The sequence below is a fragment of the Homo sapiens genome, chromosome 12 (genome assembly GCF_000001405.40).
Source record: "Homo sapiens chromosome 12, GRCh38.p14 Primary Assembly".
NCBI classification, from domain to species: Eukaryota; Metazoa; Chordata; class Mammalia; order Primates; family Hominidae; genus Homo; species Homo sapiens.
This window is the reverse complement of record NC_000012.12, coordinates 129817629-129841703: the sequence shown is the minus strand read 5'-3', so window position 1 is coordinate 129841703 and position 24075 is coordinate 129817629. Positions and strand designations below refer to the sequence as shown.

The 24075-nt window shown below is 45.1% G+C and overlaps 1 protein-coding gene across 1 annotated transcript in view, besides 1 other annotated feature; it reads left to right on the top strand.

Annotated features, from left to right (window-relative positions):
• The window catches only part of TMEM132D (transmembrane protein 132D), an 832300-nt gene that overhangs the window by 62322 nt on the left and 745903 nt on the right, over positions 1–24075 (top strand). The window lies entirely within an intron of this gene.
• Positions 13730–14231: an enhancer, noted in NCBI's record as "NANOG hESC enhancer chr12:130312018-130312519 (GRCh37/hg19 assembly coordinates)". NCBI's record gives its function as "activates a minimal SCP1, AML or CMV promoter by ChIP-STARR-seq in primed H9 embryonic stem cells {active_cell/tissue: H9 hESC(primed)}" and the evidence as "EXISTENCE:reporter gene assay evidence [ECO:0000049][PMID:30033119]".

Here is a 24075-nt window from a genome sequence, read left to right as displayed (position 1 = left end):
ACCTTCACAACTTCGTCGTTGAGTTCTCCATCTGTGCCTCTCGCTTGGCAAAACATCACTTTGCCTATTAGAAAAAGAGAACTTAGGGCAAAAGTTTAAGAAAGAGTTTAAATGAACATCCCAAGTAATATTAACATTTCAGTGCACCTCATTACTATTACAGAGGGAAGAAGGAAATACAGAAGCTAAAATTAACACGCTCTTGGCAGAAGTTCATGGCTTTGAGGAAAAGTTTTTTTCTGAGCAGCCCTGGGACCAAGGGTTGATTAAACTGGGATTTCATCATGTCTCAGCCCCGAATGAATGAAATAAAAACTCATTCAATCTAATTAGACAATCTTACGAGGGCTTGGAAGCAACCACCTATGGCAATTTCTTTTTTTTTTCTTTTTTAATCTTAGAAATAGATTTTTTTAGAATTATGTGAATCTTTTCTTTCTTCCTTTTGAGATTTGATGCTCTCCAAGGGGGAAAAGGATAGTAGAGAGCACGCTGAAAACTTTTGGTAACTCCATTGTTGAGGCTTTAAAAAAGTAGAATTATGTATATACACAGGGGTGCGCACATGTCAGATATAGTATTTAATATGTAATGTGTTAACTCTGCGTGTTTATGCATCCGCAGTGCCAAAATTTGATTCTTTTTACATTTTATTGTGACAAAGTTGAATACACTTAATCTATACTCTGCCAGAGACTCCCCCAGTTCTGTAACCAAACAGCACACTCAGCTAATGATTGTTCTTAAATTTAGTCATCAGTGACGATAACCATTCTAGGTGATAATTATTAAGCATTTCATGCTTTCCTTATTAAGCTTTTAATGCTATATTTATTAAGCATTAAGCAACCATTGCATTCGAGTATTGTCTTATTTAATTGTTACAAATCCCATGAGGCGGGGGTCCTTGTTTGATGTTTGAGGATGAGGAACTGAGGTGCTAGTGGCTTCAGAAGCTCGCTGGTGTTGCCCAGGCTGCCAGGGTGGGACTGGAACACAGTCTGGAGTTGGCCTGGGAAGCGGGCGGCCGCACTGGGAGCCTCCTTGCTGGAGGAAGGCCTGAGGGCAGGCTGCGCAGCCCCCGCCCTGGGCTTTTTACTTTCTGTGTGTGCCTTCTCGGAGACATAAAAGATAGATACATAAATATTTTTTAAGATTATAGAAAATTAAAACTAAAACATATTTTATTTTTCTCTAATTATAATTCATTTCATGGATTGAAGTTGGAGAATTTTTGTATTTTAATTTCCGGGGAACCGTTTACTGAGAGCTTACAATGAAGGGCCGCCGGACGTGTGCTCAAATGAAGGAATTTAACCCTGGGTGCCAGGGACTTGGCATGACTCCTCAGACAGGCTGGGAGGGGCATCCTCGGGGCCATAGTGGGGGAGGGGCCTGAAGCTCTGTTGGGGGGCAGTGCCCAAGGTCACTGGGGAGCCCGGAGGATGTGCTCCATGCTTCAGCCGACACCTTTCACCACCCCAGGTGTGTTCTGCAGAGGACGAAGAGCCTCCGGGAGCGGCGGTCTCTCACCCAGGGTGTGTGCAAGGAAAACAGAGCTTTGATTTATATGTAATTTACATTGTATCCTAAACACTTAAAAAATTGAGGTCATATTTTTTAATGTACATAATATATTAGTACATTCATAGGTGTAATAATACACATATTTAGGGGGTGTATTAAAATAGTTTTTACTGATCAGGGGTGCATTTGAGTTTAGCAAAGAGGAGTGTAGATGCCAGGGAGTGACACACTGCATGAACCCTGTGTGAATCAGACACTCACGGACGTTCTGTGTGGGAGCTGGGTTTGATGAGCGCTCACCTCACCTCCCAGTCGCCGCAGGCTTGGCTCTGCAGCGGGTGATGGCCTCAGACGTAACCGCACAGCACCCAGTGGTTCCTTTGGATCCGGATCGCCTCTGTTGAAGCTCCTATTCTCTTTCCCTTCAGGTCTTCCAAGTGACCTGCTATGGACTGGTTCAGTGTTTGTAGTGTTTTCAATAGTGTGCTGTGATAGCTCTCCTTATATTCATATATGTTTTTAAAAATATGCTCAGTCTTTTTTTAAGGCATATTCCCAGAAGGGGAATTCCTGGGGCCAAAACTACCTATGTACTTTAAGAGTTTGAAGTTTAAGGCCGGGCACAGTGGATCATGTCTATAATCCCAGCACTTTGGGAGGCTGAGGCAGGCGGATCACCTGAGGTCAGGAGTTCAAGACTAGCCTGGCCAACATGGTGAAACCCTGTCTCTACTAAAAATACAAAAATTAGGGCCGGGTACGGTGGCTCACACCTGTAATCCCAGTACTTTGGGAGGCCGAGGCAGGCGGATCACAAGGTCAGGAGTTCGAGACCAGCTTGGCCAACATAGTGAAACCCCGTTTTTACTAAAAATACAAAATAGCCAGGCATGGTGGCACACACCTGTAATCCCAGCTGCTCGGGAGGCTGAGGCAGAAGAATTGCTTGAAACCAGGAGGCGAAGGTTGCGGGGCTGAGATCGCATCACTGTACTCTAGCCCAGGCGACAGTGCGAGATTCCATCTCAAAAAAAAAAAAAAAAAAAAAAAAAAAAAAAATTAGCCAGGCGTGGTGGTGGACGCCTGTAATCCCAGCTAATTGGGAAGCCGAGGAAGGAGAATCTCTCAAAACCGGTGGTGGAGGTTGCAGTGAGCTGAGATTGCACCACTGCACTCCAGTCTGGGCAACAGAGGGAGACTTCGTCTCAAAAAAAAAAAAAAAAGAGTTTTAAGTTTAAAAGTTCCTATTCTTAACTGACCTCCAAAAAATGACAGCAGTTTATACTGCTAAATGGAATATAGCAGTGTGTGGAATATCAGTTACCTTGTTCCCTTGCCAACAGTAAGTTTTATAATTAAGGGGAAAAAAGAATATCTCATTAGTCTTTTAATTTGCTTGTCTTTGATTACTACTAGGTTAAATAGTGTTCTTGTTTGCCGCTGGCATTTTTTCTTTGGAGAATCACTCTTTCCTATTCATATCCTATGAATACTATTTTTCAATGTTAGGGTATTTCTCTTTTTGATTACTTTCTAACAGCTCTTTCTATATTTAAAATAACACTTGATCATATATGGCACAAATATTTTTTACCCAGTTTAACCAACAGTTACAGAGCCACATCTGTGTTAAGCCTGTCTTTTCTTACTCCTCTTTCTTTGGATTCAGTGGAAGGGGGTTAGGCAATCTAAAATTTAAGTAACTAAGGAATCAGATGTAGGGAAAAGTGCAATGCCTGAACTGGCCGCTCTGACAGACAAAGTTTTATAAATGTTTTGTCTCTCTCTTTCCAGATAAGGAACCGTTGCATTCTCTCAAATTGCATCTAGACCATAAATGCAGTCTTTCAGATTTTTCGGAAGAGAGTTGGAAAGACGCTTTCTATTCTAGAGCATACCTTGGGCAGTCCTTTTTCCTTGGTCATACCTGGGTTGATGAGTGATTTAGGAAAGACAGTGTGGACATTCTGAGTTAACAGCAGCTCACCTGTGGCTTTTAATCCTGATTTATGGTCATCCTTTAAAAAGACCAGGAATCCAGTGCAGCAGTTTGTGTAATGGAGAGAGCAACTGCTCCTGAAAAGCACGTTGAATGATCAAATTTTATTGGTGCATGAAAACGTCAGAGGTGAATATCGTTGTTTGGTGGGGCAGCTATTTAAGCTCAGGTCTGGGCAATTGCTTTATTCTTGTCTGAAGAGAGAAAGAAAAAAATAGATGTTTTGGATTACATTTTGTGTGTAATTATATATGACAGATGTATTAACTTAGCCGTTCCAGGGTTTTTGGAAATCTGCCTCCAAACTATAAATTTTATTTGACTTTTTCATTTGCAGGTGGCACGAAACCATTTCATGTATATTTCGTGGGCTCCGGAGAGGCAGGAAGTCCAGGAACTATTGTGATGCTGTAGCTCATTCATTCTGAGAGAGACATGGGTGTGTGGTTGGGAAGTAAATCATCTGCGTTTACGTTTTGGGTTAAAAATGTTAACAGCAGATCGAAGACATTGAAAGCAAGCTTTTCATTTGGTGGGGGAAAATCACTATTAGAAAGGTCTGAGCAAGTTTGGAGTGGGAATAAATTACTTCTCCTTGGTTTTCACCTTTTAAAGCATAAATCCTTCTATTTGGAGAAGTTGCCTCATTGAGGAAGATAAAGGTGCTGTTCTTTTTTGTGTATGTGCGTGTCTTTTGTTTGTATTTTACCTGCAACTGTAGAAAGTTTTAAAAAGCAATTGTTTGTAAACCTAGCAACTTAACAAAATTCATCTGGACGTGTGAATTTTGTACTAAGATCTTCAGTACAGGACTCTCTGCCTTGTAAATAGCACCGTGGACCTGTGTTTAGTTTTGGTATTTCCAGGCTTACTTCCCATGAAAAGGGAATATCCTTGAGAATAAATTCTTTTAGGGAGATGTCAACAAAGAAAATTGTCACAAAATACTTTCCACAAACATGCATATTTTAAATAATGCAAGCAGCATCTATAAAAAAATAATTACTAGACTTGGGTAACACATATGTTACTGCCTGGATTACATAATTATTTCTGGAATACATTCCTTTAAGTGGCAGTGGTCACATACAGCGCTGTTTATCGACAACAAACGTGTCATGGTTTCCGTTTCCTAGAGAGTGTCTTTGAACCTAATTCCTTTCTCCTGTAGGTTAAGAATAGATTTCTTTTTCATTTACATTTTCTTCTTTGCTTTGCAAAATTTGGAATCAATTAGAGGGATAGATTTGTTAATGATTGCCTTAATTAGTCTGTAAATGGCTATAGCTACAATGTGTTTTTTAACAAGCTGTCCAAATCTTTAAGTTTGTAGAGATATAAGTACTGTACAATAATCGTTGCCTCAGACTGCTGGATTTTAGTAGCTGTGTGTGTAAATATCAACACACACCTAGAGAGTCATTTTACTGCAGTAATTCATCTCTTTTTATGGTTTTGGGGGCCCTTTTTATGATTTAATGATTCATGGGAGATGTTTATTTTATGCACATAGAAGGAAGGTAGTGCCATTATGTTGTTATAGAAACACTACTTTTACTTAATAAAGAGCTAATGTATACATCTTTACATTTATGAAATGTAGCATATACTTGGGTAATATGACATTCTCTCAGTATTCGGGGTACACACACACACGCGCGCACACACACACACACACACACTCTGCATTCCTGGAGACACAAGCAATCCACTTAGTTATCAGAATCATTTAGTTAACAAATACCAATTCTGCTGATCATAGGAAACACTGCAGAGATACTGAGACTCAGCTGATGGAGAACTCTCTCTCTCTCCTGTCTCAAGAGGATGCTGAGATCACAAGGTCTCAGCTCCAAATGTCTGCAGAGGTCAGGGAGCACATTAGACTGGAGGATTAAGCCAGATGTGAAATGGTAGTTGGAGCAGACAGAGCTTTTTAAAGGATTTTTAAAGGATTGTAAGATCTAACCATCCTTCCTTTGAGAGGCTCCATCACAGTCATATTAAACATGTGACATGCACTCACACTCCATATGAAACATGACTAACAGGTAAATATATAACCAATCAATGGCAATTGATGCATTGACACAGTTACATGAGCTGGGAGTATTAGGATGTGCTGGGTACTGGGACATCCCAGGACATAACAGAGTTGTATTTCTCATTTCAGTTATATGTTTAGTACAAGACAGTGGAGTCCTGCTGCTCAGGGAACAGGCTGATGGAAGCTTGAGCATCTGGGAGTTGTACCATCTGGCCCAGGAGGGCTCCACACCTTCCCATGGTGGGGAAGAGAGCCCCTAGAGGGTCAGACTGAAGCTCTGAGGTGCTCCAGCAATGAAGGGGCTGGATCATTTCTGCTCAGAGTGAGTAGGAGCATAGCTGGTCCCAGGGACTCATCCCTGCAAGGCATTGGGGAAAATATGGGAAGGCGCGTGAGTATTAGGTGTGCCACAGATGTCCCTGCCCCGTTTAATCACACAACTATACTATACATTTCAAGGATTTAGCATTTTACAACCAACATAATAATTTTTCATATTACAGTCTTTTTTGCGCATGATTTTTTAAAACCTCATGCACAGGCTCGGTGTGGTAGCTCACGCCTGTAATCCCAGCACTTTGGGAGTCCGAGGCAGGTGGATCATTTGAGGTCAGGAGTTCGAGACTAGCCTGGACAACATGGTGAAACCTTGTCTCTACTAAAAATAAAACAATTAGCCGGACCTGGTGGCGCTTGTTTGTAATCCCAGCTACTTGAGGGGCTGAGGCAGGAGGATCGCTTGAACCTAGGAGGTCGAAGCTTCAGTGAGCCAAGATCACGCCACTGCACTTCAGCCTGGGTGACAAAGTAAGATCCTATCTCAAAACAAAAACAAAGACGAACCCCTCAAAACCCCAAAACCTCATGGACAGAAAATTGAGTTAACCTAACAGTTTGAGGACAGACTGTCATTAACCCCAGCAAAGCCCTTTCCTTGCTGTATTTTCTACTTTTCTTGCATCTCCTTGCACTAGGGCTGTTTCTCATCTCCCATGGGTGCCGATCCTAATGCCTTTGCTATTGAGCCTCAAATATCCCGTGTCTTTGTAAAATAAAGACAGATGGCCATGTGGGCATGTGTCCTAGTGCATACGGCTGATGTTACACTCTATCCTGGCTTCCTTTTTTACCTGCTTCATTCAGTAAGCATGTGTTTCCTAAGATCTGGGCACGTTGCTGTTTGTTCCTCTCCCTTCTGTTCAATTCTCCATAGTATCCATTTACCATCTTTATCAGTTCTTGTTCAGATACCAAAAAGCTCATAGGTTCCATCCACCATGCCCCAAGTTCCTGATGAATAAAACGGCCCAATGTGCAGCCTGTGGGGAATAGAGCATGTGGTTTCCACTTCAAAATGGTGAGATTCAGATGATTTTAAGACGCTGTGCTGGCCTGAGCCCTCTGTGGACGGGGTTCCATTTGTGGGTCTGCACTGTGAGCCCTGCCGCCTGATGCCTTCATCACAGGAATCGTGCTCATCCTGAAACCGACTCAGGTCCTGCTGCTCACTGCCCAGGGACCAGAACAGAAGCGAGGAGTGGTGGAAGGAAAGCGGCTTTATTCCAGTGCTAGCAGCTGGTGCATGGTCAGGCTCATGTCCTCAAAAGACCATTCATCTTTCAGGGCTGAGAGAGGGGGTTTAGGAAGGAAAACTGTATGGGAGATATGCAGGAGTGGTATGGGAGGGAGGGGGCGGGGTGTAGGTCCATGTGCCCTGTTCCAATGGCTATCTTGAGAAATTGCCTGTCCTGAGGTTTGGTTGCCATTATCTTGATGCTGGCCCGATGGTGGTGGTGGACTAATTGTCCATAACTCCATTTAAGCAGCAGCTGGGTCTCGGGACTGGTTTGTTTCAAAACAAGCCCCTAGAATTTCTAAGTAAGTGCATACTTGGAGGAGGGAGAATAGCACATCCGAGTGCCTGGTGGAAAGGAGGGAAGTGAAGTCTTAAAGTGTATTTCCAGGCTACATTCTGAGATGAAGAAGGAAGGGAAAGGAAAAACTGTAAAATGTGTTTCAAGTCTGGGCCACTCGGTTACAATCCCTTATGGAGCAGATGGGCCTCAGTCCTTGAACAGTGATCCGAAAGTTCCTGGGGAGGAAGAACAGAGATGACACCCCCTCAGTGATTCCCCCAACCAGGCTGGGTGTCAGAATCTTGTGGAGAGCACATTTGAAAGTGAGGAATCCTGGGTACTGCTCATATGCGACATGCTTGAATTAAAAAAAAAATAGTTTTAGGCATGTAGGCATTAGGAACAACAGCCGAGATCCCCAGACCTAGTTATGCTATTTGCTTGAGAGGAGTTTCCTGTAGACTGACACCGACTTGTTAAATGCCTTGCCCATGGGCAGAGGAGTGGAAGCTAGAGCTGAAATTGGGGACGGTGCCTGTGGCAATGGGCTGTGAATTTCACATGGGTACAGCTTTATTCTTAGAAAAACACAAATTCACATTAAAAACAGGAATGAAATGAAACAAATATTCTGAGTTTTTTGTTTTTTTGAGATAGGGTCTTGCTCTGTTGCCCAGGCTGGAGAACAGTGGCGTGATCACAGCTCACAGCAGCCTCGAACTCCTGGGCTCAAGCGATCCTCCCACCTCCTCCTCCCAAGTAGCTGGGACTACAGGTGCACACCACCACAGCTGGCTGTTTTTTGTTTTTGTTTTTGTTTTTGTTTTTCATTTTTTTGTAGGGATGGGGTTTCACCACATGGCCCAGGCTGGTCTCAAACTCCTAGGCTCACATGATCCGCCCACCTCAGCCTCCCAAAGTGCTGGGATTACAGGCATGAACCACCATACCCAGCCCAGAAATATTCTTTAATGGTGTAGGAAGGAATTACAAGGGCAGAAAGGGAACAAGGTTTGCCTTTGTGTGTGTCCGACTGTAGCTTACTTGAGGCCTGCATTAAAAACAATTCAGTTGCATGGGTCACACATCAATGCGAGGACAATTTATCTGGAAAAATATCTACGGGGTCTATGAAAGCCAAGTAGAGTTGTGTGTGGAGCACACACTAAACCACAGAACAGCCTGCACTCAGGCACGAGCATCTTCAAGGTCAAAGTCTGGACATCGGCCAGAGGCATTTGTAATTTGCGAGAGGCATCAGTGTGAAGAACCCGTAGGTCAAGGTTGACTTTCTGAGAGTGACCAGCTAAGGTAGGGAGTAGAGGGGGATTGCGAGAAAGAGTTAAATGAGTTTGCTAGTTCTTAGCAAGGTGGAACTTGGATTGAAGGGGTTGAAACTGAATTCAAAACAAGCTCTCTGACAGGTGAAAGTGGGATTATTGGAGACGGTGCCTTTGAAGGACTCCCCCAGGATTCAGAAAAGTGACGGCTCCATAAAGAAAGCCTTCCTCTCAGATCATGGCCGGGTTTGTGGCAACAGTGACGGGCGGAATGGAACAAATGCCTGCAGCGTCCCCTGACTATCTCTGAGCCTGCGCACCTCAGCCCTTCACCTGCCGGGCAGAGGCCTGGGAGGAGGCAGAGGTGGCCATGCTGGGATGGACCTAGTGCTGCAGAAGCCACAAAAATACTCAGATATGCATCATCTTGTTTGATGCTCCCAGTGGACCTATGGGGGAAGCTGCGAGGATGTCATCTCCCCATTTCATAAACAAACAGGCTCCATGGTTTAGTGCAGGGTCTGCAAGCTTTTTTGTAAAGAGCTACGTAGTAAATATATGTCCTATTCGATATGTTATATACCATGTTATAGAATATAATATATAATATTTATGATATATCCTTTTACAAAAATATTTTATGTATATATATAATTTGTAAAACACATGTGGCCTCTGTTACATCTTCTCTTCCTCCTCTTCCTTTTCATTCTTTCCCTCCCCCTTTTTCCTCTCCTTCTTTTCTTTCCGTTATTCTATATCTCTTCCTCCTGTTCCTTCTTCCAACCCTTTAAAAATGCTACAAAACGGCCAGGTGCAGTGGCTGACACCTGTAATCCCAGCTCTTTGGGAGGCTGAGACGGGCGGATCACGAGGTCCGGAGATTGAGACCAGCCTGGCCAACATGGTGAAACCTCGTCTCTACTAAAATACAAAAAAAAAAAAAAAAAAAAAAAAAAGAGCCGGGCATGGTGGCAGGTGCCTGTCGTCCCAGCTACTCGGGAGGCTGAGGCAGGGGGATCTCTGGAACCCGGGAGGTGGAGATTGCAGTGAGCTGAGATCGTGCTACTGCACTCCAGCCTGCCAACAGAGCAAGACTCAGTCTCAAAAAAAAAAAAGAAAAAGAAAGAAAGAAAAAGAAAAGAAAAAAAAATGCTTCAACGTGTGCTTATTTGGAGGTCATGCACAAACAGCCTGGGGGTTGTTGGGAGGCTGGAAGATGCGCACCCTGGGTTTAATGGCTTGCTCAGTTTTTCTGCTGGTCAGTAGAAGAGCTGAGAGCTGGTGAGGTCTGTCGGCTCTGAATCCAGCTCTGTTTCCTACTGAAACTAGAAGCAGGAGGCTAATCATTGTTATAACTGCGTATTCATTCCTTAGAATACAGAATAATAGAGAAAACCGCTAGGTCATGGTCTAAAGCATTCACGTGTGTCGTCTCGTTTGGAATCCACCCTGTTTTATTTTTCACGGCTGAGCCAGCCGAGGCACCGGCCGCATAATCCCCATCCGGGATCAGAAGCTGTCGGGCCTCAGAGCGCCTCTCAAACCCACACTCACTTGGCATCAAAGACCACAGTCTCTCTATATAAAATATCATTGCGCCTTGTGATGGAAGCAGACACACGCAATCGCATTTGCGTATTCAGTGGTGTGCATGTGTGGGAGGGACAATGGCTGTCTACCCTGACTCCAGCCTTGAAAGGGTCATCTGTCAGTGCCCATGTCAGCGTCTGTTCTCTCTTCTGTGGGTATCGGGGTCTGGAGTTCCCTTTTGGGAAACCAGCTTTCTTCACCCCTTCAGTGATGTGCTGGTGAGTGGGCTGGGTCCCAGTTCCTGGCTCCAGAGGAGGGTATGTGACCCAGGGGGTCAGAAATAAACAGGCCAATGAGGTTCAATTTCAGGACTCATGGTGGAACTTCTAGAAACTAGAAGCCTGGAGAGAAGGAGCTTGGAAAGAGAGAGCCTGCCTGTGGGTGGAGCCAACTCCTAGCCTGAGCCCAGGAGGGAGGGAAGGGGAGGAGGGGAGCCAGACGGAGAGTCCTGGGGTGTCTCCAACACTTGAATTCTCGTGACTTAGAAATTTGAGTAGCATGCAGTAGAAAAATCACTTCTCAACACCCAACTACGTTGACTTTTCCATCACCAATTATTGAAACTCCTGAGTTAAACACTTAGGTTTGAGTTTTTAAATAATCGTTGTAATAATAATAACTAACTTTTATAAAGTGCTTTCTACGTAGAGAAAAATGACGAGATAAGGCCCAATCATTTTGGGAGGTTTATCTCCCAAAGTTAAGGACGAGTGCCTGTGACACAGCCCCAGGGAGTCCTGACAACTTGTGCCCAAGGTGGTTGGGGCCCAGCTTGGTTTTATACATTTTAGGGAAACAGGAGACATCAATCAATTTATGGAAGAAGGATACTGGTTCCATTCAGAAAGGCAGGGACATTGGAAGCAGGGAGGGGGCTTCCAGGTTACAGGTAGGTGAGAGAGGAAAGCTTGCATCCTTTTGAGTTTCTACTAAGCCTTTCCGAAGGAGGCAATCAGAATATGCCTCTGTCTGAATGAGCAGAGGGATGACTTTGAATAGAATGAGAGGCAGGTTTGTCCTGGGCAGTTCTCAGCATGAATTTTCCTTTTAGCTTTTAGTGATTTTGAGGGCCCAAGATATTTTCCTTTCACAGCTCTTCTGGATGATATATGAGTGTGTATGTTGTCATCTATCGTCTCTCTTTCTCTCTCTCATGTGGCTGTGTATGTATTGATGGATATGTGTGTGTATCACATATGTTTGTATGTATGTGTATGTGTGTATGTATGTATACGGTTCTTCAATCCTTCCATTGACTGAATGAAGTAGATATTGCCATCAGCCTTAATTTGCAGTTGGAGGATGCAGGTGTGGGTGCAAATGCACTGTGTCTAAGGAAACAGCTCAGAGCCTGAGCTCTGTGCCACTCTGTATCTGAGAGGCTTGGAGCTGAGTGAGATCACACTCTAGATTCTTTTTCACAAGTAAGTAATGAAATATAACCTGAAAGGAGACAAACAAACTTAAAACCTGAGGTTTTAGCTGGAGATTTGATTCAGTTGGTTGCAGCAGTCCAGGATCTGACCTGGGTGAGTCGTTCTAATTGATGGTAAAAGCTCTGGGTTTCTCAGAAAAGACACCCTTATTTTTTGCTGTCTTGGCTTTGGATGATTTCAGATGAAGTGTGGAGAATCACCTACCCTTATTTCAGGAACAAGGTTGATGCTTCAAAAGCTCCCCCATCTCCTGTGCTCTGCAGTGAAGCTTTCCAGCCTCATCTCAGTTCGCACCTGAGACTTAGTCCTGGCATTTCCTGGCAGAAGCAGGAAGGGAAAACACGGGGCTAAGGTGACTCAGCTGTTACCCCAGGTCTGGAGACTGTCCCAGGAGTGGCTCAGGACAGACATTGACCTCTGTAGACAAGGAGGCCCTGAGTTTGGGTGACCTGGTGTGCTTGGCAAGCTTTAGTCTCATTCCTTAGGGGAGCATTGGGTGCCAACTTCTCCACCTTGCCAATCCCATAAAAGCACATTTGTCATGGAAAAATTGTGCTGTACTCAGTAGTGGAATTGGATTTCACAAGTCTTATTGCCATCATCCCTAAATTCCCGGGAAGAGGAAGAGGAAGAGGAAGGAGATGTCCCTTTCTGGGGTGATGCCTCTCCCTGTGGCCGTCGTATTTCAGAAAAGCCACTGAACTCTATAATAACCACGATTATTCTAACCATGATTCTGGTTTTCTTTTTTTTCATTTTCTGATTCTCATTGTGCTTTGATGCCACTGGTTTGTTATAGGAATAACATATCAGCTAGGAATGCTGCTGGCTGCAAGTAACAGAAAATTCAATCAACAGAGCCTTAGCCATCTTTGGGCTTGTTTGTCTCACATAAAAAGAAGTCTAGAAGTTGGTAGCTGCCAGCATCCTTGGTTCAGAAGCACAGTGGTGTTGGAGATTCACACTGGCTTCTTGCAATTAATTCCCTCGGCCACCTCCTCATAGTGACAGTATGGCTTTATACCCTTCCACCTCTTTCACAGGCAAGGTGCAGATGGCTCTGGGATAGATAATTTTGCCTGTTTCTCTCTTGGAATAATTTTTTCCTCTAGAGGATACCTTTCATCCTTCTCTTCTCCCTCCCTTTTTTCTCCCTTCCTTTCCTCCCTCCCTCCCTCCCTCCTTTTCTTCCTCCCTCCCTCCCTCCTTTCCTCCCTCCCTCCCTCCTTTCCTCCCTCCCTCCTTTCCTCCCTTCCTTCTCCCTCCCTCCCTCCCTTCCTTCCTCCCTTCTTTCCTTTCCTTCCTTCCCTTTCTTCCCTTTCTTCTCTTCTTCCTTACTTCTCATTAGCCCACAGGGAGGATAAAATGTTTTTGAGTAGCCAACCAACCATATCTCCCACAAATAATAACATGAATTTAATTTGAGTGCTCATATTGTACCAACGTAATAGGTAATGGTTGTGATATTGGGAGGGGAAGGAAGACTGCTGTGAATGCTAATAGATATTTGGGGTTTATCTACATGGATAAATCAGAATTGTTAACATTATTTATAAAGATAATACTTACATAATTTCTAAATTCACAAAGATTGTTTGGCTTAATGATTTCTAAATGTATGCAATATAACATTAGGCGGCTTTTATTAATTCTATTTATGTAATGGAGAAGCAAAGACTAATAATCCTGAATCTTAAATATGCCCAAAGAACAAGCTAAGGAAAATTCTCTGGCTCGGTGAGATGAATTCCTGAGCCATTGCAAAGAGGGTGAGAGATCATTTCACAGAACCTCTGCCAATAATTCTCTGTCCCAGGCCCCCTGCTTAGCCTTTATTTTGCTACTGTGGGTATCTTTGCATATGATTTGCATACAATCATTCTCATTGCAGTAAAAGAATAAGTTATTAATGTTCCTCCTCTAAACTGGGTGAGCATAAGCTTTCATTTACAGAGTCTGTCTTTAGGGCACACTTCATTTTACTTAGAATAAATTATCATACATTTATCATTACTTAGCAAGTTATTAACATTAATATAAACAAACATGTGGCCCATTTCTTTAGGAAGATTATGGTTTTATCACTTAGTGGCTGTAGCAGGCAGCTTATACATATTTTATTTTTTAATGGCTGTGCTTTCTCAGTTTCCATACTCACATTAAAAACATAATTCCAAGCACTTTGCATCTGTTAGCTCGGAATGCACTTAACTGAGGTGAGGGGGCTAAAGATTAACTTCCAGTGACAAACAAGAACTTCCTCAGACACCTTTTTACACTTGAGACTTGCTGGAATTTGTTTGTTAAGGATGTCTGGGTCTATGGCAAGGAATGTTTTGAAATTTAATTTAGTGAACTGCCACAGCAGGAAACACCGCAGGCTCAGAACGTGGGTTCCAGCAACCACTAATGAGGAAGGACAGAAATTACTGTGGACTCAGTCTAATCAGCCATAGAAGTAAAATAGTTAAAAAGTTGCAAAATACCCATTAGTATTTTGCAAATTCTACTCCTTGCTTATATGAGGACCATGGAAGGGAGAAGAAAGCCTGTTTTGGTTCAGCTGCTTACAGTTTTTAGCCAGTGCTCCAGAGTTCTGCCTGGGGGTGTGACCATGAATTTGGGGCTTAGAAACTGGAGAGGACCCTTTGTTAACTGGGTGCTGTTGGGCAAATTACTTAGTTTCTTCAAGCCTCAGTGTCTTCATCTGCAAAATGGGAATAATCATAGCACTCATTGCATAAGACAGCCTTAAGAATTTAAAAGGTCAAGCCTGGGGAGAGCTTAGCAGAAGATCAAATATAGAGACGCGCTTAATTATTAATTGCTATTATTAAGAGTGATTGTTATGAGATGTTAAATTGCCTTCTGAACCACCAAATAATGATCACTAAAATCAATTCATAATTTAGTATTTTGCATATTTCATTATGGTGTAATTTTTAGAATAGTTATTAGCACAGCCCCTTTTTATTTTTGCATTTCAGTTCAAGACAAGACTTATTTAGTCAGCTTCTGAGAAAAGACATCATCAAACTGCTTTTCACTCTATTTTTCTTTCACAACTAGGTCAAAGCAGAGTTTTGATTTTTTTTCCTTTTGTACTTTTTTTCTCCATCCTTGTTGCTGGTTGACCAGCGAAGCTTCTCCCCACACCTGCATTTCACCCAGTCCTCGGATGGATCTTGCTGTCTCAGGCCTCTGACCCTGCTAGTCCATTCGTACCTGGTTACCAGGCTGGAATGTGTCCATACCTACAAAATCCAGTCCAATCCCTGTCTGTTGGCTTTTGAAATTCTTTAGGTAAATAGCCTTCCGCTGTGGGGCATTGGGATGATTTTCCTGACCGGGTCGTTATCACAGCGGAAGGATTCCAGCACTTCATGAGTACAAAGTTGAGTTCAAAGAAGATCTTTTTCTTCTTGATAAAAGACTCTTGTGTCCCAGGAGCAAGGCGGGCTGCACTCATTCAGTGCATTTACCTCTAGAGACATGAGGAACGACAGGCACGGTGAAAGGCTGACTCAAGGGAACTTGTCATTTGCAGTGTGGGCTGTTTCTCCCTGTCTCTTTTCTGTCAAGAAATCAGCTATGTCATGCTGTATCAAACAAAACCCTACGACACCTCTAGGCGGTTTAACCCAAAGAAGATGTACTTCTCACCCACGCTGTGTGCTCAGCTCTGGTCAGCAGGATGGGCCCCTCTTAGGAGGGTCACTCAGGGACTCAAGCCGATGGAGGCTGTATCCTGGCCCCTGCTCCCGTGGTCACAGTGGAGACACGTGCGGCCCTTGAAGTTGTCACCTGAAAGTGACATGTGGCCCTTCTGCACAGTTCAGGGATGCAGCAAGTCTCAGGACCACTACTGACTTAATACTTTTTATTTTATTAACTTGATTTTTTTAGAGACTGGGTCTTGCTCTGTTGCCCAGACTAGAGTGCAGTAAGCAATCACAGCTCACTGCAGCCTCTGCCCCCTGAGCTCATGATTCTCCTGCCTCAGCCTCATGAATAGCTGGAATTATAGGCATGCGCCACCATGCCAGCTAATTTTTTAATTTTTTTGTAGAGATAGGGTCTTGCTGTGTTGGCCAGGCTGGTCTTGAACTCCTGGGCTCAAGTGATCCTCCTGCCTCATCCTCCCAAAGTGCTGGAATCAGAGGCGTGAGCCACTGCACCTGGTTATACCCCTCGCTTTAAAGTGTGGGCCTGGAAGGAATGTTTGTGTGCAGCCTGGATGGCAGCCACAGTGGGCGTCCCGAGGGCACAGTCCACCCCATACCATGCAGCCCCTCCTGGGTAATTGTCTGAAAGTGATGACTCCACCCACCCAGCAGCACACACAGTGGCTCCAGATGCAGCAAGGGGCAGAGAAGAGACACTGGGCTTGGGAGAGTGCAGGTGGAGGGCCTTGTGTCCCCAGGGCATGGCAGGGGAGGCTGGCGTCACCGATGGGTCAAGAGGACATTATGGAAGGTGGTTGGAGCTCAAGCCTCTCGCCAGTAACCCTATTAGCAGATAAATTGATGAGTAAATGAGGGATAGCAGCGGTGGAGGCAGCAGAGTGCACTGCCCAGCTGGAGGACGGGAGAGGAGCTTGAGCCTGAAGCAGTCGCCCACCCAGGGAGACACGGAAGAAAGTGACTGGGCCGGGCGCAGTGGCTCACGCCTGTAATCCCAGCAGTTTGGGGGGGCCAAGGCGGGCAGATGACCTGAGGTCAGGAGTTCAAGACCAGCCTGGCCAACATGGCAAAACCCCATCTCTACTAAAAAAAAAAAAAATACAAAAATTACCCGGGTGGCCTGTGCCTGTAATCCCAGCTACTTGGGAGGCCGAGACGGGAGAATAGCTTGAACCGGGGAGGTGGAGGTTGCAGTGAGCTGAGATCATGCCACTGTACTCCAGCCTGGGTGACAGAGTGAGACTCCATCTCAGGGAAAAAAAAAAAAAAAAGACTGCCCATCTGTGTTAAAGGAACGAAGTGAGCAAATAGGGAACAGTTGTTAAAGATCAATAGCAAACAACCAGTTATCCAGGGGCCATCCCTTAAGGAAAAAGAGCTCTCTCGCCTGCTCTCTACCTCAGCAACAGAAGAAATACTTGCCAGATAGTGGGAGGGTGATGAGACAGCAGGATCCTCTTACCCATCCGGACCTTCAAATGGCTAATCTGTAAGTGTCAGCTCAGATGGTGGAACAGGTGCCACAGACTGGGTGGCTCAAACAACAGACATTTATTTCTCATGGTCTGAAGGCTGCAAGTCCCAGATCAAGGTGCCTGCAGATTCAGTTTCTGGTGAGGGCTCTGTCCCTGTCTTGCAGATGGACACCTTCTTGCTGTGCCCTTGCATGGTGGATAAAGGAAGCTCTGATGTTTCTTTCCCTTCTTATAAGGGAACTAGTCCCATCCCGGGGGCCCCCACCGTTGTGACCTCATCTAAGCCTCATCACCTCCTAAGTGCTTCACCTCCTGAATCCGTCATACTTGGGGCGAGGGCTTCAACATAGGAATTCTGGGGGCGGGGGAGGGCACAAGCATTGAGTCGGTAACACAATCTAATATTGGTTAGAAGCTGATAGCTTAAAATATGGTTGAACAGGACTGAGTCTTCCTAGCCATAATAAACATTTTTCAAAACTCAAAAAGTACCTGAAAAATTATGGAGTTGCCTGAAATGTTGATGATGGAGCCTGCTATGTAGTAGAAAGAGATTTGATGGAATAAAGTTGAGAGCCGTTACTGGAAGAAGATTAAAACTGCTTCAAAACTTTACCTTATGAACTGAAATTTTGTAATCCAGCTGGTTTCTTGTATGCTTTGGTGGGCTTCCTGGGTTCGAATTCTTGCGCAGCCCTCCATAGCTGTGTGACCTTGGACACCGCGCTCTGTGCCTCAGCTGTCTCACCTGTAAACTGGCCCACGGTAGAGTGTCTGTCCCTCACAGGGCTGTCATAGGATGGGATGACTTCACCGATGAGAAGCACTTTCCTACATCAACGCCTGGCTCATGCTAAGGCCTCTATTCATGTTAGTTATTTTAACGGGAATGAGATTAAATCAGGCCCCCAATTTAAAACCAATAATAAGAGACACCATATTATGTTTTAACAAATATCTGGGCACTCTGCTTTATACCTTATATTAAGCCCTATAAGATAGGTATTGTTCCCATTTTACATATTAACAAACTGAGGTTTGGAGAAGTTAAATGTGACATAGCTAGCAAGTGATAGAGCCGCAAATTTGTTCTCACTTCCACCTCTACCTCCTTCCTCTCCACGATTCTTCCTACAGCTGAATTCTAAACACACTGACCTGCCTCTGTGTTCCTGACCAGCCTGCTTTTGCTTCCCTGGGCCCTTGCACAGAAGGAGCATCATGGCTGAAAGGCCAATGTGCATAAAAGAGTTTGCATCACAGGCCTGAGCCCGCTCTCCTTACAAAGGCTGCTGGCAAGGCTGGCCCTTGGCTGGTCCACGGAAATGTGGATTTTAGGAGGACTCCCACCATTCCCTAACTGATGAAAGGGGCGTACTGCGCCTAAACTCTTTGTATAAAAAATATGGCTTATGCAGGACACCTGCTTTTCTTCTAGGAGTCTGGAATTTCAGCATATGCTGGGGAGAAATGTCCACATGACCAGCCCCCAAAAACAACTGTGTTAGGCCATTCTTCCATTGCTATAAAGAAATAGTCGAGACTAGGTAATTTATAAAGAAAAGAGGTTTATTTGGCTCACAGTTCTGCAGGTTGTACAGGAAGCATGGCAGTTTCTGCTTCTGGGGAGGCCTCAGGAAGCTTCCAATCATGGTAGAAGGAAAAGGAGGAGTAGGCACATCACATGGTGAAAGCAAGAACAAGAAAGAGATGTGCGAGGTGCCACATACTTTTAAACAACCAGATCTCACGATGACTCACTCACTACCTCGAGGACAGTTCTAAGTGGATGGTACTAAACCATTCATGAGAAATCTGCCCCATGATCCACTTCTCACCAGGTCCCATCCCCAACATTGGGGGTGACAAATGAACATGAGATCCAAGTGGGAACGCAGAGCCAAACCATGTCAGTGTGAATCTCTGTCTCCTGAAAATCATATCTTGAATTACAATAATCCCCAAATGTCAAGGGCAAGACCAGGTGGAGATAATTGAATCATGGGGGTGATTTTCCCCATGCTCGTCATGGTGAGTTCTCACAAGATCTGATGGTTTTATAAGGGACTTCCCCCTTCGCTCGGCACTCATTCTGTCTCCTGCCGCCCTGTGAGAAGGTGCCTTCCGCCACGCTTGTAGGTTTCCTGAGGCTTGGCAGCCGTGTGGAACTGTGAGTCAATTAAACCTCATTATAAGTTATCCAGTCTCGGGTATTTCTTCATAGCAGCTTGAGAATGGACTGATACACAAACCATATCAACAACTCCGGATGCTGAGCCTCTGACAAGCTTCCATGGTAGGGGACACTGTAGGTGTTGTCAGAGCTCAGTGCTGAAGAAGTTAAGTGCGTCCTGTGTGACTCCCTGGGGAGGGACCCTTGGGAGCTTGAGCCTGGCTTGCCCTGACTTCCACCTGTGTTACCCTGGTCCTTTGCTGGTTTTGTGGTCTGACCTTCTGTTGTAATAAGTCCCAGCTGTTTGTGCAACCATATGCTGAGTCCTGTGAGTCCTCCAGTGAGACAGCCAACCTGAGGGTGGTCTTCAGGACCCCGGCAGGTCTCTCAGCTCCTCTAGCCACTCAGCCCTTCTCCCCTCCAGCCCTGCTCAGTGCCCCATCCTCAGAGACGGTGCCCCTGGTCACCCTCTCCATGGCTGACTCTTCCACTCCTGTCCTCTTTCCCGTCTCTTGGTTTTGTTTTTGTCTTTGATCCTCCAGCGTGTGTCTCAGATTGTCTCTCTGATGTATTTATTTCCTGTCACCCCCCAGTGAATTTGCTCCATGAGTACAAAGATCACGTCTGTCTTTTGCACTATTATATCCTCAGCACCTAGCATGGTGCCCAGCATACAGCAGGAGATCAAAAAATATTTCTTCAACAAAGGAAACCTGTGGTCTTGGCCACTTAAGAGCAGCACTCCTGCTCCCCACTTCGAAAGACCAGCAGGCTTCATGACTCCCTAAATCCCAGGGGTGGTCCAGTGACCAGTATCACATCTCCTGGAAGTTGGCAAGAAATGCAAGTTCTTGCCCTTTTCCCCCAGCCCACAGACGGGCAGAGTCACAGGCTGCATTTTAAGAAGATCCCAGGTGATGCACCTGTGTGTTGAAGGGTGAGTGGCACTGTCCAAAATGGGCTCTGTGAGTTCCGCTGCACGTTTTGATTGGCACTTTTGCCTCTGCCAGAAATACTGTTCCAGTGTTTCCATATTTCTTCAGATCGAATGGGTTTTTGAGGCCTGCCTGTAGTCCAGCTTTCCCTGTGGGAAATCCTTACGTGGCTTCCTTTCCAGGCAACCGATGTGCAGACCCTGAAATTATGGGCTGGCAGACTGACTTCTGGTGCCTTCAAAGTAGTTCCATTGGCCTGTTTTCTGAGGACGAAGATTCCATCTGACAGCTTTGCCACCTGTTAAAATTCAAACCCCCCAGAAGGCCAACCTTTTGGAGTCCTTTAGTCATTCTCCAGCTGTGGGGAGCATCTGACGTGCGTTTCAGAGGACACCAACACCGTGGAATTCTCCAGGAAATTAAGTTCTCTGTGCCCAAAGATGCTTGACAAATGCGAACACACAATACACACCATTGTGTCAAATAATCTAAGTCCTGCGGTGAGAGAATCTGTCTTAATTTCTCGAACCCCCTATTTCTTAAGCATTTTTGATCATGGAATGTTTTCACTCTGGAATATAGAAAATCAGAATTGGAATCAGAGAATGTTGCTTTAAAATGGCTAATTTCAGATCCATTGTTAAAATGGGTTTATATAGGAGAAAGGAGGAGGGAGAAGAAAATGAAGAGAGGTGGTTGAGAAGCAGGCCAGAGAGGCTGACATATAATCTTTGCTACTTGTCAGATTCATCAGCACTTGGTTTGAGCCTTTCTTGCATCCCTTTGGAATTTTTAATTAAAATCTGGGGGCAGCCAGGCGTGTTGGTGCACACTTGCAGTCCCAGCTACGTGGGAGGCCAAGGCAGGAGGATGGCTTGAGCCCACGAGTTTGAGGCCAGCCTGGGCAACATAGCAAAATCCTATCTCCAAAAACAAATAATAAAATAAAATTTGAGGAACAGTTTGTTCAATTTTGCCTTTTCCTCTAGCTTTTGCATGCATATAAATCATTTCTTTACACCTGAAATATGAGCTCCTTCATGATGGAACCGTTCATCCCATATATTTTCAGCTGATGCTTCCAAAAGGCTGCTGAAAGTTTTGGGCATGAAAACATAAGTAAATATATTTTGAATTAAATGAGTTTCTGGTATACCTCTGATTAGGAACACTCCACTCAAATAACCTTGTGTCTGCATCTGTGCTTGAGATATTTATAATGTATGGTTAACTGCTCCAGAGGGGATGCGCACGCTGAGTGTGCATCAGAAGACCTGGGCTTGTGCCGTAGCTCTGCCAGACTCGAATAACCACGTAGATTCTCTGAGTCTCTGTTACTTTACCTGCAAAAGAGCACTGATGGCCCCCATTGTCACACAGGGTTGTTGGGACGTGCAAATGGAATAATGGGTGGAGAGGGGCCTTGCAAAGACATTGAGTGGGTTAAGAGCACCATCTTTGCAACAACTGGCCCCTAAATTCCTAAGGGAGGCAAGATGGTCTTTCAAAAGAACTCCTGAAAAGGATTCAGGCTGCTTGAGGGACTTGGTCTCTGCTATGGCCAAGGTTGCAGAGATGGAGAACTTCCATGCGGAAGGTAAGGAGCTTGCTTTAGCTTCAGACAAAAAAGAGTGCCAGGTGAGAGGAACCAGGGGAGGAGGAGGTGCTGAGCTTTTCATGGAGGAAGGGCTGAGAGAAACCTCAGCTGCCATGAACAAACGTCTTGAGAGCAGTCATGTCCACGGTGCACGTGCGGTCTTGGAATTCTGTCCCCTGCTCCAGCCTCAGCTCCAGGACACTGCGTCTCCCACTCATGAGCACTTTGGGTAGCAGCAGCACTTTTCTTTCTGGTTGAATCCGGTGAAAGACCTGCCTAGAATAGGAGGAAAACATGTTTAAATAATATTGATGATTATGTTAATAATAGTAGCAGGCCATAGTGCTGGTACTAGGAATAATAACACGAACAGCAGTACCAGCAGCAACTAACACTTAGCACTAACTACGTGCCAGGCACTGCAGAGCATGCCACACATACCGTTAGCGATGAGGGCTAATTTCATCCCCGTTTCATAAGAGGAGGAAATGATGCATGAAGAGGCAAAAGTGTGACTCAAGGTCAGGGTCCGCAGACTCCAGAGTCTGCACAGCAAATAGAGTCTACACAAGCAAGTTTTGTGCTGAATGCCGCAGGAAGAACCTGGGGCGTGTGGAGTTGTACCTCCATCCCTGGTGGAACTGGGGGCTTGCTTGCACGGAGATCTGAAGAGATAGCGACTCCCCGACCTAGCAGCTAAAGTAAATCGTATATGGTATTACGATATTTTAGTATATCTTATTTATTCAATTATTATAAATATCACAATTGATGGGGAAACCAGATGCCAATTCTCCTTTGTAGCTCCTTTTGATCCTCTCATGAATCCATTCATCAAATGCCATGATCAAAGTGCAGTGCTTGGCACTGTGGGGTAGGTAGAAGGGATGAACAAATTTCACTATCTTTATGGAATTTCCACTCTAAGCGCGTGTTCTCATGTGGGGCAGCATGAACCTATGTTTTCGTTCCTTTTCTAGGCTGTCTCCCGCAAGACAGCAGTTGTGTGCATTTAGCAGAGGAGGAAAAGAGAGATGGGACATTTTTTTTTCTTGTCTTTTTTTTTTCGAGACAGAGTCTCACTCTGTCACCCAGTCTGGAGTACAGTGGTGCAATCCTAGCTCACTGCAGCCTCGACCTCCTGGGTTCAAGCAATCCTCCCACCTCAGCCTCCTGAGTAGCTGGGGCTACAGGTGCAGGCCACCACGCCCAGCTAGTTTTTGTATGTTTTGTAGAGACAGGGTCTCGCTATGTTGCCCAGGCTGATCTCCAACTCCTGGGCTCAAGTGATCCATCCACCTTGGCCTTCCAAAGTGCTGGGATTACAGGTGTGAGCTACCACCCCCGGCACGTTCTACTTTAAGTGGCACTAATTCAGCCACAGTCTGTGTGTGCAGGTGCATACACCCACTGATACGGCCGTTAAATGAAAGGCAACTTGCTGTCTTGAAAGAAAGTATTTACATAAACACACCCCCTACACCACACACACACATATACACACACACAAACACACTCCACACACATACACATACACACATACACCTCACCACACACATATATGCACCCAAACCACATACACACAGATGCGCACATACACACATACACACACCACACACACACCCAAAACCACATACACACAGATACACACATAGACACACACCCCCCCACCACACACATACACACTTAAAACCCCACACACACCCCCGACATCACACACACCTCACACACATACACACACATACACCACACACACCCCAAAGCAGATACACATAGATACACAGACATAGACACACACACATCACACACACCCCACACCGCACACACACATATACACACATACACCTCACACTACACAGACACACCCCAAACCACATACACACAGATACACACTCATAGGCACACACAGCCCCCACACCACACACACATACACACACACATACACCTTATACCACACACACACATGCACAACCCAAACCACATACAGATACACATACATAGAAACGCACACACCCCACACCACACACACCTGACATACACACACATACATCTCACACCACACACACACCCCACACCACATAGAGATGCACATAGACACACACACTTACACCACACACACACCACACACACATATACACACATACACCTCACACCACACACACACACTCCAAACCACATATACACAGCTACACACACATAGGCACACACAAACCCCCACACCACACACACACACATACACCTCACACCACATACACACACACCCCAAACCACATACACACAGATACACACACAGACCCCCCCACACACCCCCAAACCACAGACACACAGATACACACAGACACACATACCCCACACCACACACACACCTTACACCACACACACCCCAAGGCACATACACACAGATACACACACATACACACCCCCCACACATACCCCCCACACACCCCATATTACAGACACACCCCACATTACAC